Source organism: Homo sapiens, chromosome 2 (genome assembly GCF_000001405.40).
Source record: "Homo sapiens chromosome 2, GRCh38.p14 Primary Assembly".
In the NCBI taxonomy this organism is placed as follows: domain Eukaryota; kingdom Metazoa; phylum Chordata; class Mammalia; order Primates; family Hominidae; genus Homo; species Homo sapiens.
This window is the reverse complement of record NC_000002.12, coordinates 139,353,435-139,371,800: the sequence shown is the minus strand read 5'-3', so window position 1 is coordinate 139,371,800 and position 18,366 is coordinate 139,353,435. Positions and strand designations below refer to the sequence as shown.

Sequence of the window (18,366 nt, the reverse complement as noted above, 5' to 3'; positions counted from 1 at the left end):
TTTTGGTTTTGCTCCAATTTCAAATTTCTACCCCTTCAAAAATTAGATTTTGAGTCTTCCAAATGTGAAGGCAAATTTTGCAGACCACCTATAAAAATCAAGATGGAGTATTTCATGCTGCAGTATAACCCCCAAATCTTACCATGTCTAAAAACAAAATATTTACTTCTCACTCTAATTGTATATCCAATATGGGCCAATGGGCCTCTGCTCATTGTAGACCCAGGTTGACATAGGCTTCATCTTTTTTTTAATTTTTTATTATTTATTTATTTATTTATTTATTTAATTTTATTATTATTATACTTTTAGGGTACATGTGCGCAATGCTTCATCTTAACACAGACTTCCATCACCTGGGTAGGGAGAACAGAGCACTACATTGCCTCACAGGGCCAATTAAATACTGCTTCTTGGAGGGAGACGCAGGCAATTTCTAGCACTTCTGCTCATATTTTGTTGGTCAAAGTAAGGCCACAGCTAACTTCAAAGTGGGTGGGGAGGTACAACACTGCATGAGCTCAGAAAAAGGAGAATTAGAATGTTTGTGAAGAGTGCTAATGGCTATCACCCCTTGGAATACTCCACTTCCCCAATCTGGCTCTCAGTAGAGCGATGCTTCAGAATTCCCATGGTAGCACTTTCCACGTTTCTCTTTCTACTGAGTGCTATCCACAGAGAGGAAAATAATAACTATCACAGGTATATATTAAGACTCATTTACAAACACAGTGTGAATTTAAAGTATATTAGCTTAATCAAAGAGTAAATATTATGTTTCTATATCATGGTTTAATTTTTCGTTAGTTATCATTTATAGGTCTGGGGTAAAAATAAAGTATATTTAGGCTAGTCATGATGGCTCACACCTGTAATCCCAGCACTTTGAGAGGCCAAGGTAGGAGGATGGCTTAAGCACAGAAGTTCGAGACCAGCCTGGGAAACATAGCTAGACCCTGTATCTACAAAAATTTTAAAAATACAAAATTATCCAGGTGTGGTGGCATGAGACTGTAGTCCCAGCTACTGGAGAGGCTGAGGTGGGAGGATCACTTGATCCCAGGAGTTCGATGCTGCAGTAAGCTGTGATCACACCACTGCACTCCAGCCCGGGCAACAGGGCAAGACCCCATCTCAAAAACAAAAAGTATATTTTATAATTCTATTGAAGACATTTTGGTAAGTAGAAAAACCATATTTTCTTGTTTGCTTTACACCCTTCCAGGTATCTATTCCGAACTTCTTATGCTTATTTTCTGCAATCATGTGGTTAGTAACTTCCTGATTCCTCCCACCCCCACATCTAAACTCAACTGATGCTGGTTATACTTACAATTTTTTACATTATCTACATTCCTTGCATCTCCCGAACCTAATGCCATTCTCCCTGTTACCCAAGTTGTCTCCTCTCAGCTATTTCAACATAGTGCCACTTTTTTTTCTATGCTAAATACAGCTTGTCGGAGGAAAAAAAACTAATCATTGCAACTCCCATATGGAAGCTGCAAAGATTGTTAGAAACTGCTCTCTACTGCTCCAGGCTACAAGTGCGTCACTAAGTCTTACATGTTTGCTTGACAATCTCACAGCAGGAATCACTGTGGGGAGAGTAGGAAAGTGAAATAACAAGGAGATTGGATGTCAAATTCTTTTTTTTATGAGATCTCCTAATAAGGATATTTATTATCTAATGTAGAAGATTAAAAGTTTGACCCACACCTTTTACAGCCTTGCAATATGGCCCTCTCTTTCTATTACTGTAGCTCATCAATTTATGTTTTAGAGAGTCACTTTCTCATCATCCTAGGTGGGTGTCTCAGCAGACACCTGTGGATATGGATATGACACAGCCTTTAAACTCCCTTTCTCCTTTCCTGCTAGCCCCTCATCCAGGGCATCCTGCTGACAAGAATTAACTCGCTTAAACACCTGTGACTGGGTAATTATTGAGATGTTAATTTTACACTATTCTGCTTGATACTGAAGATGGGAATTAATTGAAGGTAGTTTTTATGTTCAGCCCTAAAAGTCTTTTGTTCCAATCCTGGGCTGTTAGGTTAGCAATGATTGCTATGAAGCAAGGCCATAGGCAGAAATGTGGAGAAATCCAGGAAATACTGTTCCCTATCCAAGCTTTTGTTAAGAAATAAGCCAATGGGGTAATGATAATACTTAGGGTGAAGAAAGCAGAGCTGGCTCTATAGTGGAGACATCATTTAGCAAGGTGATGGAGTGATCAGAGTTGACAGTTTTCTAGAGTGAATTGAACTGTTCTCCCCTCCCACACAGTGCCCCAAATGGCAAAAGGATCCGTAATAGAGTACAGATCTTCACCAAGGTGAGAGAACACAAAAAGGCCATGGTTTTGGAGCCAAGGAGAAAGAGCATGTCATCATATTGGAAGAACAGGAATGTAGCAGGCTACTTTAAAAGGACCACACAAACTTGAATAAGAGTGAGTAGGGAATCACCATCATGGACTAAAGACTAGAACCGTTCTCTCCACTCAGGAATTTGTATGTGAATCAAGGGGAGTCCGAAGCACCCTTTCCCCCAGTATCACTGTGACTGAGATAGTACTTATTGTTACCTTTTGTAGGTAGGTCAAGCCTGATTTATCTGATTTCAAACATAAATTGGAGTGAAGTTTTTCTCATTTCAACAATATACTCTATATTCAAAGTCACTGCACACCAATCTGAACATTATACTTTCTGGCTCAGAAGTCTTCACAAGCTCAGATTATGTGCTGTATTGGAATTCAGAGACCACTATAATTGGTCCCTATCTTTGCTATCAAGATGTACTTATTTATTCTTCCAAATCTTCATTTTCTGCGCTCATCTGTTCACATCATTACTTTATCCCAATGGACTATTAATTGTTCATTCCTTGAACTCTGAAAGTACTTTAACCCTGTGTAACTCTAGTGTATGAACCACCTTTTTAAAATGCAGTCTGGATTATCTGTAGTTACTTCATTAGGGTCAGAGTTCTTAATGAAATTAAAAACTTTTGGGGGGCAAGATTCATGTCTTATATTTCTCATACCCTCCTAGTGTCTGGCAAGAAGCTAAGCACAATATAGATACTTCTTAATCAATTGTATTATATATCACTGCTTCACATATTGAGTAGTGTCTGGGTCCAGTATGTCATCAGGGCCACAGCATGCTGTACAAGATAATTAACTGACATGACAAAAGTTTTCATGGTAGACAAGTACAAAAGACAATGGATTGGTAGTTTCATCTGCAGAACACACTTTAACTGATTTGGCAGATATGAGAACTATATTGACTAAACGTATCCTTACCTTAGCTCTGTGAAGTATAAGTTGGTGCTTCCTGGGTCATAAACGTTGGTATTCTTGCGCTGAGAGAAGAATGGAAGCCCAACAAAAAAGCCAGTGTTCAAATTCGCTAAGAGTGAGACCAAAAGCCTGATGCCTAGAGTTTGTACTTGCCTCAGTGCTAGCAAGTACAAGTAGTCATATACTCAGGAGCACTGTAGAAAGAAAAAGACCAGAGACACTGCAATGAATTATTTGGCCACTTGTTTCATTTGGGCAAAAATAGTAAGTATAGAAGTCGCCTTTATGTTGCAAATTCTAAGCCAGAGAATTATTATTGCTCACTGATCTCATTTTTGTGTAGGATAATACTAAGGACATCTGCAGACTAGTAGATGAGTAGACTACTAATATCTAGCAATGCCTGCAGCTTTAATAATCACCTTTTAAGTATGCTCTGAAAAACAGAAACAGAAATCTCAGTCTTTCAAAAGACAGAAACATTTAAAGATGAAACCAAGTAATTTATCATTGTCTTGATGCTGTAATTCAATCTTTGTTGAAATGCAGAAAACAACAATTAGTATTGCTTCTGTATCTGCTTTTATTATACCCACTGTATCATAGGAACTCTGTGAAAATGACTAACTCTCACAGGTCTCTCGTTTTCTGCTAACCTTTCTTGTTATGAAAAGCATAAGACAAGAACAGTCATTGATTGGGGAATTGAAGTTCTCCCATAAAAGATGAGTATGTCGACAGAAATACCATCAGTTCCCCGGCATGCAGGTCAAATATTCCTTAATCTCACTTCTGTCAAGGGATTGCATGACCACCCTCAGACAAGGACAGCCAATATTACCTGCATTGGGAATTGGACCCGTTGAAAATGCGTGAAAAGGGGACAGAGTGAACTGAAGAACAGCAGTGCCTCCCTCAGACACACAGAATCATGCCTGGCTGTATCTTACACACCAAACGAACTGTATTTTTGATTTTACTGTCTGACATTTACCAGAGGGATAAAGATACATGAGTAATGAGGCGAAAGGGCATTACAAGCTGGGTGTGTATTTTCCCATTACTTTAAGAAATGAGCCTAGCCAAAATTGCACTCTGAATTCCAAGTTAAAAATGAATTAAATGAGTATCCTTCACATTTGTCACAGCACCCTCAACAAAAATCAAAAATTCTCAAGGTATACATGTGGCTGGTCTTTTTCTATGCCATTTCCTAACTATATTACATACCCGTTTTCACAGTATCAAGCTGCACATTATTTTTGGTTGGTATGCAAACACCAACATCTGTGTCTATCTCCTCTATGATGTCATTTTCCTTAATAACACCAGCTCCTGTCATTATCAACTGCCTGGTATTTGGTAGACATGATGTTAGTGCTGTACGTGTATTCTGCCATTTAATTTTTAACAAAAACCCTATACAATTGTCACCATTCTTTATCAAGGTAAATCACACCTTTCTTCTTTTTCATCTTTCTCTTCAGAGCCTAGCGCAGTGTTCAGTCTCTTCTGCAATCTCAGTAAGTATATTGACTCATTGCATTTCCTGGCACACATGAACAAAACAAGGGGTTGAAGTATAATTAATGTGGCCATAAGTGGATAAGTAGATCAACCATCCAGTCCGCCACTTTGCTCAGAAGTGGCTCACACACTCACTCACCCACAAACACACACACACACATGCACATATTTGGAAGGCATATTTTGGCTTTAAGCATGCAGAGTCTGATTCCTGATTACCTGATCATGTAGAATGGATTAAACTCCTTTTTTTTTCTTTTTCCTTTTTTTTTTTTTTTTTTGCAGTTGGGCAGTCACTGTTCATGATACCCCAGAGTGTATACACCACTCAAACTGTATCACATTCTAATCCAACACCAATGAACATCACTTAGTAATAAAGAGATGTTTAATTTCTTGGCTTATAAAGTTAAAAACATTGAATCTCCTCTGGGGATTTCCTTGTCCTGAGGTGGTTGGTGTGACAATGAAAATTGCTATTTACTGTTGAAAGGCACCCCTATAATCTGGTGTGGCTCCAAGAACTTAGACTTTCTTAATGCTATTTCATATTTAGAAAACAAAACTAAAACAAAACAAAACTGTCCAGCACCCGTATAAGGTGCTCAAAACGTCATTGCTACCTGTAATTAATTGCATGGAGAATCCAATTATCACAGTTAAGGAATCAGACTGATACATGCAATTTGCACATGTTGATCACGTTGGCCATAAAAATTATAACAGGAGAAGTATACATAGTGGGTAATTATGCACACCTTGTATAAAGCTCTGGAGAGCAATTACGATATAAAAAATAATGTCGGCTGGGCTTGTGGCTCATGCCTATAATCTCAGCACTTTTGGAGGATAAGGCAGGTGGGTCACGACGTCAAGAGATTGAGACCATCCTGGCCAACATGGTGAAACCCCATCTCTACTAATAATACAAAAATTAGCTGGGTGTGGTGGTGCACACCTGTAATCCCAGCTACTTGTGAGGCTGAGGCAGGAGAATCACTTGAACCCAGGAGGTGGAGGTTGCAGTGAGCCAAGATCATGCCACTGCACTCCAGCCTGGCGCCAGAGCTAGACTCCGTCCCAAAAAAAAAAAAAAATATGGAATAATAAGAATAAATGAGTTTCACTGAAGTAATAACATTTCACAAGTTGTAGTTTGAAGTTTCTTCAGCTTAAAAAAATAGAATATTATCTTCAAATGAAAAAAATTTATATAGCTCACTGAGTTAAACACAAAAAAAAACAACAATAGAGATATATTATAATTTTTCATGCACATCGTGGAGACTTGGCTTGTGTTGCATAAGAAAATATGAAGATCCTCCACATACACTGAAAAGTTCCTAGGAATAAAGGGGTGGTTCAGACCAATATGAATGTTAGAATCAGTAAAACGGAGTCAAGCAAACCCCTGTGAAATTCATCGTACCAGTTACATGAGTTACTCTAAATTATGATCCTTTTTCTTATAGATGGAGGAGTGATAAATGCAGAGCTGTCTGCCAGCCTATTATACGGTCAGTAGCAGTGAAAGAAATGGAGAATGACAGGAATAAATAACATAATCTGATCAGTTAGTAGCACACAAAGACTTCTGGGGCTCTGCTTTGTGTGACGATTGGTAGTCTCCTGGGAGCCACCTTAGGAAGATTGACGGTTGCCACAGATAAGTTCAATTGTGTGAAGGACAGAAAGCATCCATTTTTAGATGCTAGTTAGATGCTTGATGAAGTAAATGGACCCTATATCAGAGCTTCTTGATACAAACTAAATTACCATGCCACATGGAAAAAATAGGAGAGTTTTTTAATGAATAATAACTTCTTTTGAATTGAGTTTGTGACTATTATATTTTTTCTAAAATACCTCCAAATGTCCAGAAGTCTATAGGAAATAGATACATGATAAATGTTCTCTGCTGAATTTTTATATATACATTTATATATACAAGATGTAATAGTACATCTTGTCTTATGAAAAGTTCTTGGTCTAGATACAGACAATAATATGACTTTAAATTTAAAATAAGTGATAAAGATTAAGTGACACACAGAATTCCACTATCTAATTTAAGTGCCAGTTGACTTGTTGTATGCTTCTATTTTTTATTTTTATTTTTTAAGCAGCTTTATCGATGTATGATTGATATTCAGAACTTCACATATCAAACATATAAAACTAAATGTATGTATACAATTAGATTAGTTTGAGCATATGCATATACCTGTAAAATCATAATCACAGTTGAGAGTCTATATGTATATATCACCTGTAAAAGTGTCCTTGAAGCCCTTGTCTTCCCTTTGTATCTTCCTAATTCTTCCTTTGTATGTTTCATGGTATCAAGAACTATGGAGACTTTTTGTCTCACTTGATTTTTTGTTGCTTACCTTTTTTTTGTTGGTATAATACTTGAAGCTGGATAATTTATAAAAAAATTATTTGGCTCACAATTCAGATTGCTGGAAAGTTTAAGATTGGGCAGGTGCATCTGTTGAGGTCCTCAGGCTGATTCCACTCATGGAAGATAATGGAAGAGGGGCAGGCATGTGCAGAGATTGCAAGACAAGAGAGAAAGCAAGAGAGAGAAACAGATGAAGCAAACTCTTTTTAACAACCTGCTCTTGTGGAAACTAATCCATTCCCTTGAAAGAAAGAACTCACTCCTGGGAGAAAGCATTAATCTATTCATGAGGGATCCACCTACATGAACCAAATACCTCCCATTAGGTCCTGCCTCCTAACACTGACATTTTGGGGATCAAATTTCAACATGAATTTTGATGAGGGCAATCCACATCCAAACCATAGCACATTCTCTTTAAAACTGTCTTCACTCTTTCTCATGACAATATTTTTTCCTTAGTTTTCAGCTGAGTTCAAAACCTTCCTTTTAGTCTTCTTTGTGGACTCTATACTTAGCCCTTTTCTCTCTCAAAAATGTCCATAGCCAATTTCATATACCTCTATGCATGGAGGTTTTTACCTCCACGCTTAAACTATTGGTTTTGGAATATATATCTTTAGCTGAGTCTCAACTCATGCCAGAAAAATATTTATAACTGCTTACTGGACAGTTGTTGATTTTACAGAATCAGATAAAAACCTGCAATGCTAACTGATTTTCTTTCTTCCTCACACTAGATCTCCCTCTTAATCCAGATCTTGATTTTTGGCATTATTATTTATCAAAAACTGTAAGCCACAGTCAATCTTTTGCCTCTCTCTCTTTCTTTCACCCATTTTAAGTTTCTGCAATCTGCATTACTTTTTCCTGCACATCCTATTACTACTGCCTTTCCCTGAAGCTTTGCTGCAGTCCCGTAACCTCCCTGCATCTGATTTTGGCTCATCACATTAATTTATTCTTCAGCATACTGTAGCTCTGATCACATCACTTTCCTGCCTAAAACCTTTTAATGGCTGTCAGTCTTGCATGCAATTAAAGTTAAACTTGTTAGCATGGCTCTCTGATTCCTCCCCAACATGGCTACTCCCTTCCTTTCTCACCCCATAATATCCTCTCTCTCCAAATATCACATCCTGAATTTACCAACTATGGGCAGGCCCTTTCTCAAGTGATAAAATAATGTTTTATTCTTTTCTGCTTGGCAAACTCATCTCCATCCTTCAAGATTTTGAACAAATGTCATGTGTTCTTTGAAACTTTTTCTAATATCCCCTGTCAAACCCAGACGGTCCTTCCTTGTGCTTCCAGAGACCTCTCTGTAGATATTTATTATGGGACTTACCACTCCATACTGGGATTATTTATTTATCAGTAGGCTGTAACATAATTAAAATAGGTTCCACTTTTTACTCAATTCTTCATCTTCTAATCTAGCATGGGTGACTACTTGTGAATTAGTGAATATATGTTCATTTTCCCCAAATTTTTGTGAATTGCTAGTATATCATTAGATAGTTAGCCAAAGGCCTGTCATATCACTTCAGATGGTTATGTTAGCAAAAACCAAATTTTTATGTATTTTATTTTAGAAATAAGAGGAAGGACACAGCACCAAATGTCATTCTTTTATTACTTCCCATTTTCTGATTGCCTTTTCCCCAGAAATATTTATCAAAAATTTCCTTTGTGTAACAGACACAGTGCTTAATGATCTATAGATCTATATGATAGGATCTATATGATAATAAGCAGGATTATTTCTGCACTGAAATGTAATGAGATGCTTTAGTATGTGATCAATATTATTAGCATATAACAACTAAGAGCTAGAGGAATTTAGAAGAGGAGCTCAAATCCATTCAGAGGAAGTCGGGGAAGTTTTCATTGAAGTTGGCCCTTGATACCTCAATAGGTTTCCTCACTTGGAAGATGATGGAAGGGTCTGTGAGGCAAGACAATCATGTGAGAAAAAAGAGAGGAAAAAGCAGATGGATTTCTCTAGGGAATCTACAATAATACACTGAGCCAGGTTGTTTTTTTGAAACCAAGTGAAACAGTGGGCCCCAAGGCATGAAAGATAAGTGGACTAAGGTTAAGAGACATTCGGTGCTGCCTGGACTTGAATTCCTAGGACGATGAAATCTTAAAAACTGGAAAATGACACCACATTTTATATTTTAGGATGATTAATATACGAGTTATTCTTACAGTATCTTTTGGAGGAGGTTAAAATCAATTACAAACTATTACATTAGTCCCAAATTAAGGTGTTTGTTTTGATATGAAAGTAAATAAATTTAAATTTATCCAACATAGACATAGAAAATTGTTTTTTCTTGTTTGCTTTGGTTTTTGTTTCTGTTTTTGAGTGAGAGTCTTACTCAGTTGCCCAGGCTGGGGTGCAGTGGCACAATCTTGGCTCACTGCAACCTATGCCTCCCAGGTTCAAGCAATTCTTCTGCCTCAGCCTCCCAAGTAGCTGGGCTTACAGGTGCATGCCAACACACCCAGCTAATTTTTGTATTTTTAGTAGAGATAAGGTTTCACCATGTTGGCCAGGCTGGTCTTGAACACCTGACCTCAGATGATCCTCCCACTTAGGTCTCCCAAAGTGCTGGGATTACAGGTGTGAGCCACTGTGTCCAGCCTGAAAATTGGTTTTAAAAGTACTTATTTGCATGAGATTTAAGAAATCTAAGTCCTTGTACCTATCATGGAATAAGAATTAAATATATGGTAGCTCTTAGAAATTTATTTAAACTACAAAGAGCAATTTCTATTGTACACCTGCTGTTCTACATTCTTCTTTATAACCAATTACTATAGTGCCGCATACTCACAATGAACAAGTCCTTATAACAGGATAGTGGCTAACATAAAATGCTCTGCAAATAAAATAAAACAGCCTTTCAACAGTACTGTTTGATTATGCTCAACAGTTTTTCTTTTAATCAATTTCTCTAAGTGTCTCCACTTGGATTTATATGTAATAAAACAACTTGCAGGATATTATCAATAGCTTAAAATTGTAGCATGGAATTAGGGAGCTCCACCATGTTTTAGTTCTGTGACCTTGGACAAGTCTGTTACCTTAATGTCTAATATGTGTCAGATTTTCAACCAGTTTTAGCACTATCACCCTCCTCTCTCTAAGCATTTTACTGCAGATGATTTAAAAAGTTTAGCACTTGATAAGCATATATTAGTATAATGACTAGAAAAATGTAAATTTAATTTGTAGGCCTTTTATTTGGTATAACCACTTCATTGTCTCCAATTAAAAGTGACTAAAAACTCATGAATAAATTATAAAACCTCACATTTTTCCGCAAGATATTCTTAAGTTGATAGGAGGTTGGTCATACAGTCAACAAAAGCCACAGCATTTTAAAATTTCTCTTCCTGGAATCTCTTGACAGTACAAAAATTAATGTTGCATTTCTCAACAATAGGAACTTTAAAGCCCACAAAAGGAATAAAGAGCAGATACCTGTGAAGTGCTTAGAATAGTGACTGGCATGTAGAAAGCACTATAGAAGGATTTGCTATTATCATCATCATTATTAATATGGAACAATTTATATATTCCTTCATAGGCCTTAGAGAAAGTGTCTGTTATGTGCTGTTTACACATAGGTTAAAATCTTCCAGAAATAGGTTCTGGGTCAGGTGCCAGATTGTAAAAGCTGCTGTTAAGAGACATGGTAAATTAGTCATATTCAAGTTAAACTAGCCTTGATATAAGCTCTGGGGTTCAAAGGGAAGGTTTTCTGTGGTATAATACAAGTAAATGTAGGGCAACGGCTTCATTGACTTCACTGAAAAGAAGAGACAAGGGAAGCCAATGCAGAAAAAAAAATTACATTTACATTAGTAGTTATTCTCTCTGCCTCTCTTTGTCATTGATGTTTAGTTTTATTTTGTTTCTATTCAATGAAAAAAAAAATCTTAAATTCCTGAATTTAGACATTTCAGAGATACTGATTGTTTTGGGCTAAATTGTGTCTCCCTAAAATTGATATGTTGAAGTCCTAACCCCCAATACCTCAGAATATGACTGTATTTGGAGACAGGGCCCTAAAAGAGGTAATTACACTTAAATGCGGTAATTAGGACCGGCCTTTTTCTAATATGGCTTGTCTTCATATAACAAGAGCAGATTAAGACACAGACACTCACAGGAAAGACCACATGAAGACACCACAAAAAGACAGTCTTTACATGCTAAGGAGGGAGGGCATGAGAATAAATCAATCCTGCTGACATCCTAATCTTGGACTTCCAGCCTCCAGAACTGTAAGGAAATAAAGTTCTGTTGTTTAATCCACCTAGTCTATGGTATGTTTTTAATGGCAGCCCAAGCAGACTGATAAAGTGATCTAATAATGTTTCTAATGAAGGTATAAACTTTATATTCAAATAAAGTCTAAGAAACAGTATTATAAAAAGTGAAATGTTTAACAGTCTTCAGAGCTATGCTGAGCTACAGTAAAAATAATGGCCATAATGTAATAGCTTTTTGGTGCATGCTATAAAATAGGCTCAGATAAGCTTAGAGAGGTTAAGTAACTTGCCCAACGTCACAGATAGGAAGTGAGGAAACCACCCATCAAAATGAGGTGTTTTAATTATAGAATCCTTGATATTAATCATGATAGATTAAAGTATTCTAGTCAACTTTGGGTAGGGAGTGAATTAGAGATTGCTGCACAGGACAAAATGAACACTTGAAAAGAATACTTTCAAGCTGTAAAAGAAAAAGTAATAAACATGTCCCCCTCCCAAGTCACAAGGATGTAGAATAATTCAGATAAGTCTATGTTAAACCTTGTGACTCAAAGATTCAGTGCTGATTATATATCTTTTTATTATTTGAATTAAAGGAACATGATATTGTTTATACACACACGGAAGAAAATCAGCTGGTACTCATGAGGGACTGCATGGGCACCAAACACAGTACATAAGAGAATCAAACCATACCTTATATTGTAATGGCAGAGACAAGCAGGTGTTGCAGGTAGGGCTGTGGGAAGATTCTGATTGTGGTTGTGAAGATTCTGATTGTGACTAACCAGAGCAAGATATGGGTGGGAACCTGGACAGTCAAAAAGAGAAGCAACGAGAATGGGGTCCAGGGTTTCATAGGAATGTGTAAAATTGATCATCTATGTTTGAGAGCTTTGGAATAAGGCAGACCTGTTGCTTCTCTCTTAGATTGCGATTAAGTCTATTCTGTTCTCTGAAGGCTGGACAAGTACAGTCCTCCAAAGCCCTGAAGATACCAAAGTGAGCATTTTAAATAGCAGCATCCTAGATGTCTGAAATCGTGAGCCTTCTTACATGGCAGCCAGAGTGTGAGCCCTGATTTTTGCCAGACTTGGTTCTCTCAGTGCAGCAATATGAACTAGGGTTGAAACAGGTGAAGCTACATGGAATTACATAGTTATAATTCCACTTAGATTCAATAAGAATGATTTGGGGACACTGATCAGCCAGGAATCTGTACAAAAATGATTTAGGAAAACAGGGGATGGGGAAAAAAGGTAATGTTACCTAATTGGCATACTTCTTTCTTATGGAAATAAGTAAATTTATGTGTGTGTATAACATATATACATAATTTATTTATAACTCAAATGTGTTATGCATCTTTTAACTAAAATACTTTTTTAATGATCACACAGACAACTTTTTATTGCTCAATGAATATGTTTCTTTCTTTTTTTTTTTTTGAGACAGGGTCTCACTGTGTCGTCCAGGCTGGAGTACAGTGCCTCAGAGCTCACTGCAGCCCAGATTCAATCAATTCTCTTATTTCAGCCTCCCCAGTAGTTGGTACTACAGGCATGCATCAACATCCCTGGCTGATTTTTATATATTTTTGTAGAGATGGGGTTCTGCCATATTTCCCGGGCTGGTCTTGAACCCCTGGGCTCAAGAGATCCTCCTGCCTCAGCCTCCCAAATTGCTTGGATTATAGGTGTTAGCCTCGCATCTGACCTTTATTCGGATGTTTCTTTTTCTTGACGATTTTAACCTAATTTCTAAAAAATTGTAATCCTATTACATGTCAAAATATTGTTTTTCTTTATGAATCCTGTCTTCAATGAACAGGGAAATGTATATCTAAAAATAAGTGTGCTCCTGCCTGGCATTAAATGCTACTGAGCCCTAAAGAGAATTGCCTGTCCCTCTCCTCTTAGCTTTGAGCGTCATTAATAACCTTTCAACACACCATTTCTGATTGCATACCACCTTTTACCTTCTAATCTTAAACACACAGTAAACATTCATCTTCTACAATGGCTTGGTGAAAGCAAGCATTATTATCCACAGCATTATAAATCAGCAAATTGATCTGGAATGACTACCCAAGGGAACACACAGAGAGGGGCAGAGCACAGAACCAATCTCTATTACCAACAACTAGCCAGGGTAAGAACTACCAACCACATTGTTATATTGAATCATGCTTCATTTCCATTTGTTACCGTAAAATTCAGGGAAGCACCTTCAATTCTTTTTGTAGACGCTTCCTTCTTTCCAACTCTTTTTGCCAGGCAAAGTTATAAGAACTGGGTTCATGTCACTAAAATACATATATGTAAACTGATGTGACCTATAACTACCACCTGGGCTTTGTAACCATTCATGCTCTTTTTGTTCCAGCATACCTAATTCCACATCCAATATTCTTCTGGTAATAGTTCCATCTTCTAATCAATGACCACAACAGTTTACCCAGGTATCACTGTGAACAGTGCAAGGAGTACATAAAGTTGAATTTGGGGCTGATATTCTTTTGGGCTTATAAGTTATGTAAGAAATTTTGGACTTGACCCTAAGAGCAGGAGAAAACACATTGAAGTATCCCACACAGAACATCTGCAATGTGAAATTTAACTTTCAAAAATATCACTATCTCTATGTGGAAAGTTGGTGACATGGATGTGTAGAGATCACTATATATATATATTTTTTCTTTTTTCTTTTTTTCCCCCCGAGATGGAGAGTATTGTTCTGTCACCCAGGCTGGAGTGCAGTGGTGCAATCTCGGCTCACTGCAACCACCACCTCCTGGGTTCAAGCAATTCTCTTGCCTCAGCCTCCTGAGTAGCTGGAGTTACAGGTCCACACCACCGTGCCTAGCTAATTTTTGTATTTTTAGTAGAGATGGGGTTTCACTGTGTTGGCCAGGCTGGTCTTGAATTCCTGACCTCCTGTTCCTCCCACCTCAGCCTCCCAAAGTGCTGCAATTACATGCGTGAGCCACCGTGCCTGGTGAGACCAGTTATATTTTAGACAACCCTTTTGATAACTTAAATATTTACTTAACATGGGTCATAAGAGAGGGTAATATAAAAGAGAACCCCAGGCTTCTGAAAAACAAAACAGAACAGCTGTGCATGCTTTGACACTATGATTTTAAACCAACAAACCAACTCTCCACAAACTAAGTATATGGTATGCTAACTACATAGAAAAGATATGGGCCTTTGTATGCCTCCCTCAACCAGTTCCCTTTCAATTTCTTAATTTGAGCCTTTACTCAGGAGGTTTTTATACAGTGGACAGAATATCATCTTGTCATATTTTTTTCTCCACCAAGAAATCAAAGTGCAAAGGGAAATTTGACAAATTAGAACTAATGATATACAAAGAGAGGGTAATGTTCATGTTGATGCCTCTAATACAAATGTGGGACACTAAGTTAAATGATGGCAACTTAAGGTTATTTGTGATACTACATGGACTCAGAATATATTCACTTGTGATTTTTGGTAAAAAATAAGAATGCCATAGAATTACATTTAATGTATTCTACGTACTAGCCTATAAATTCCCTCTCTTATTGTGACTTCTTAATATAGCTGTGATATTTTTAGAGACTCAGTCATGATTTTCAGCCAGAAACTGAAAAGGTTCTTCCCATGATTTTCCAAACACAAAGTAGATAAACCTTTGTAAAAAAAAAACTAATCCATTGGATGTATATAAAAACTATGTCATCCTAGTAAATTACATAAGTTTAATTTAATTTTTTGCTTCTTATTCATCTTTTCAGCACCCTAGTGAACAACTCAACATTATTTTCAGCTTTCAATATGTTCAGGTTGCTGTAAAATTACCCAGTGCTTGCTATAAAATTCTACAAGATGACATCCCCTGGAGGCCTCATATTACAGATTTAAGGAATCATGTAATTTTCCTTAATCAAAATTAGCCCTTCCCTTATTTCATTTGCTCAAAGCTTCTTTCTCTCATTTCACAATATGTGACAATTAGAAAAGAACTAAATCTCAGGATTTGAAAAAATTGTAATGCATTTTAAAACTCTATTCTCAGTGATTCCTTTATGAGTACATCTACTGCTAGGAATTGAAACTATAAGAGAAAGAAGATAGTGAAGATATCGTGGGGAGGATAGTTTTTGCTTTAAAGTTGATAACTGGATACAGTGTGTGTGTGTGTGTGTGTGTGTGTGTGTGTGTGTTGTTTTTGCTTTGTGATTGTTATACGAATTGGCATGGTTCAGCTATTGCTATATTATTAAGAAATTAAATAAGCCACATTCTGGACAGAGAGAATAAGTGGAATGAGTGTCTCTAAAAGATCATCAATAAAGCCGTACCAATTATTCAGTAAGCAAATATAATCTTGGAACAGAAATCAACCTTATTTTTGATCAAGAAATGAAGTCTTGTACAGTACATGTGGGTTTGCATCCCAGATATTAAAAAAGAAGGAATTGCTGTGAGATGCCTGAAAAATATAACTAGCCCATTGCAGCTATCTCCCTTTCCTGAATATCCATAGAATATTAATAGCTTGCAAACTCTAGTTATAACCCATTTGTTGTGCCTTATCAGCAAGGTTGTTATTAACTTCTTAAATTCACTTCACTTCCTTCTTAATATTTTGCAAAGCATTTATATTTATGCCTTCCCTCTTTTCAATATGCCGAATGAACAAGTATTTTTTTCATAGTAGAGAGTATTATAAGCACAGTGGTATCCATAAGGGGCAGGTATAATATGACAGCAGTGTTCCAACCAGGAAAGCCCTCAAGTGAAAATAAAATGTAGGCCTTCAGCCGTAAGTGCTGTGGGTGTGCATTCCCTGCTTCTGAGGATATTCTGCTCCCCAAGCAAAGATTGGAATTTCTGAGTTTGTTTTCTAAGAGTATCTTGCAGGGGCTTTTGTGTTCCACCTGGATTTGGAGGCTGTCATAAGTCTCCCTGAAGCTCTCTCCTTTGATTGGCTGAGAAGGACCCCTTGGCTGAGCTCGAGTTACCCAGTCAATTATTTTCTGGGAGTTGTGATCTAGGAACTGGGTTGAGTTTGCTTTCAATTTGCTCAATTCAGAAAAAACACAATACTTACTGATTTCACTGTTACCTCCTACGTTGTTCTTTTCTGAAAGAGCTGGAGACTAAGCTCTAAAACAATCAAAAAGCAGTGAATTTTTATACTTCTCCTTGGTGTAGGAAACTGTCTGTGAAGCTTTCTGTTGCATAGTTTGTTGATATTGTTTATTACGTAAAGAGTAAAGTATAATTTCTGGAACACTGGCCAGGAAGGAAAAAAGAATCATTTCAGAACTGTCAGGATCTGCTGTACTGAACTTCTCTCACTGCTCTACCTTAAACGTGCCATTATCCCTTCTCACTTCCAGGGCTTGGCAATGCTGTTCCCTCCACTCTCTGCCTGCCCTCTTTCCTAGACACCTTCTGATCATTATTAATGCTCATAAGCACTTCTTTACTGCTTTGAATACCATTTGTATTAGTTTCCTAGGGCTCTCATAACAAAGAACCACAAACCTTGTAGCATAAAGCAACAGAAACTTACCCTCTTACAGTTCTGGAGGCCAGCCAAAATCAAGGTGTCAGCAGTGCCACACTCCCTACAGAGACTCAGGAGGAAAATCTGTTCCTTACCTCTTCCATATCATTCTGCCCCTGGCCCCTCTCAAATCTCATGTCCACACATTTCAAAACCAATCATGCCTTCCCAATGGTCCCCCAAAGTCTTAACTCATTACAGTATTAATTCAAAAGTCCACAGTCCAAAGTCTCATCCAAGACAAGGCAAGTCTCTTCTGCCTATAAGCCTGTAAAATCAAAAGCAAGTTAGTTACTTCCTAGATACAAAGGGGGTACAGGCATTGGGTAAATACAGCTGGTTTAAATTGGAGAAAATGGCCAAAACAATGGGACTACAGACTCCATGCAAGTCAGAAATCCAGTGGGACTGTCAAATCTTAAGGCTCCAAAATGATATCCCTTGACTCCAGGTCTCACATCCAGGTCACGCTCATGCAAGATATGGGTTCCCATGGTCTTGGGCAGGTCTGCCCCTGTGGCTGTGCAGGGTACAGCCTCCCTCCTGGCTGCATTCCAGGCAGACATTGAGCATCTGCTGCTTTTCCAGACACATAGTGCAATCTGTCAGTGGATCTACCCTCTGGGGTCTAGAGGACAGTGTCCCTCTTCTCACAACTCCACTAGGTGGTGCCCCAGTACAGACTTTGTGTGGGGGCTCCAACCCCACATTTTCCTTTCATATGGCCCTAGCAGAGGTTTTTCATGAGGGACCCACCCCTGCAGCAAACTTTGCCTGGGCATCCAGACATTTCCATACATCCTCTGAAATCTGGTTGGAGGTTCCCAAACCTCAATTCTTGACTTCTGTATACCTGCAGGCTCAACACCACATGGGAGCTGCCAAGGCTTGGGGCTTGCACCTTCTGAAGCCATGGCTCAAGCTGTACCTTGGCCAATTTTAGCCATAGCTGGAGTTGCTGGGATGCAGGGCACCGAGCCCTTAGGCTGCACACACACAGCACGGGGACCCTGGACCTGGCCCACAAAACCATTTTTTCCCTCTAGGCCTCCAGGCCTGTGATGGGAGGGGCTGCTGTGAAGGCTTCTGACATGCCCTAGAGATATTTCCTCTATTGTCTTGGGGATTTACTTTTGGCTTCTCATTACTTATGCAAATTTCTGCAGTCGACTTGAATTTCTCCTCAGAAAATGGAATTTTCTTTTCTATCGCATTGTCAGGCTGCAAATTTTCTAAACTCTTATGCTTTCCTTCCTCAATAACTGAA

General features: G+C 38.0%; 1 long non-coding RNA gene across 2 annotated transcripts in view, besides 2 other annotated features; it reads right to left on the bottom strand.

Moving 5' to 3' along the window:
• The window catches only part of LOC105373643 (uncharacterized), a 144,473-nt gene that overhangs the window by 7,345 nt on the left and 118,762 nt on the right, over positions 1–18,366 (bottom strand). Inside the window, exons 6-9 of one of the 2 annotated variants that reach the window (NR_188040.1) lie at positions 12,234–12,348; positions 7,231–7,348; positions 4,773–4,862; positions 3,317–3,507 (exon numbers count right to left, since the gene is read on the bottom strand). This is a non-coding gene — a long non-coding RNA (uncharacterized LOC105373643). The remainder of the gene's footprint in view (positions 1–3,316; positions 3,508–4,772; positions 4,863–7,230; positions 7,349–12,233; positions 12,349–18,366) is intronic. The other variant, NR_188041.1, reaches the window with a different exon arrangement.
• Positions 1,239–1,777: an enhancer, noted in NCBI's record as "OCT4-NANOG hESC enhancer chr2:140127594-140128132 (GRCh37/hg19 assembly coordinates)". NCBI's record gives its function as "activates a minimal SCP1, AML or CMV promoter by ChIP-STARR-seq in naive and primed H9 embryonic stem cells {active_cell/tissue: H9 hESC(naive and primed)}" and the evidence as "EXISTENCE:reporter gene assay evidence [ECO:0000049][PMID:30033119]".
• Positions 1,778–2,317: an enhancer, noted in NCBI's record as "OCT4-NANOG hESC enhancer chr2:140127054-140127593 (GRCh37/hg19 assembly coordinates)". NCBI's record gives its function as "activates a minimal SCP1, AML or CMV promoter by ChIP-STARR-seq in primed H9 embryonic stem cells {active_cell/tissue: H9 hESC(primed)}" and the evidence as "EXISTENCE:reporter gene assay evidence [ECO:0000049][PMID:30033119]".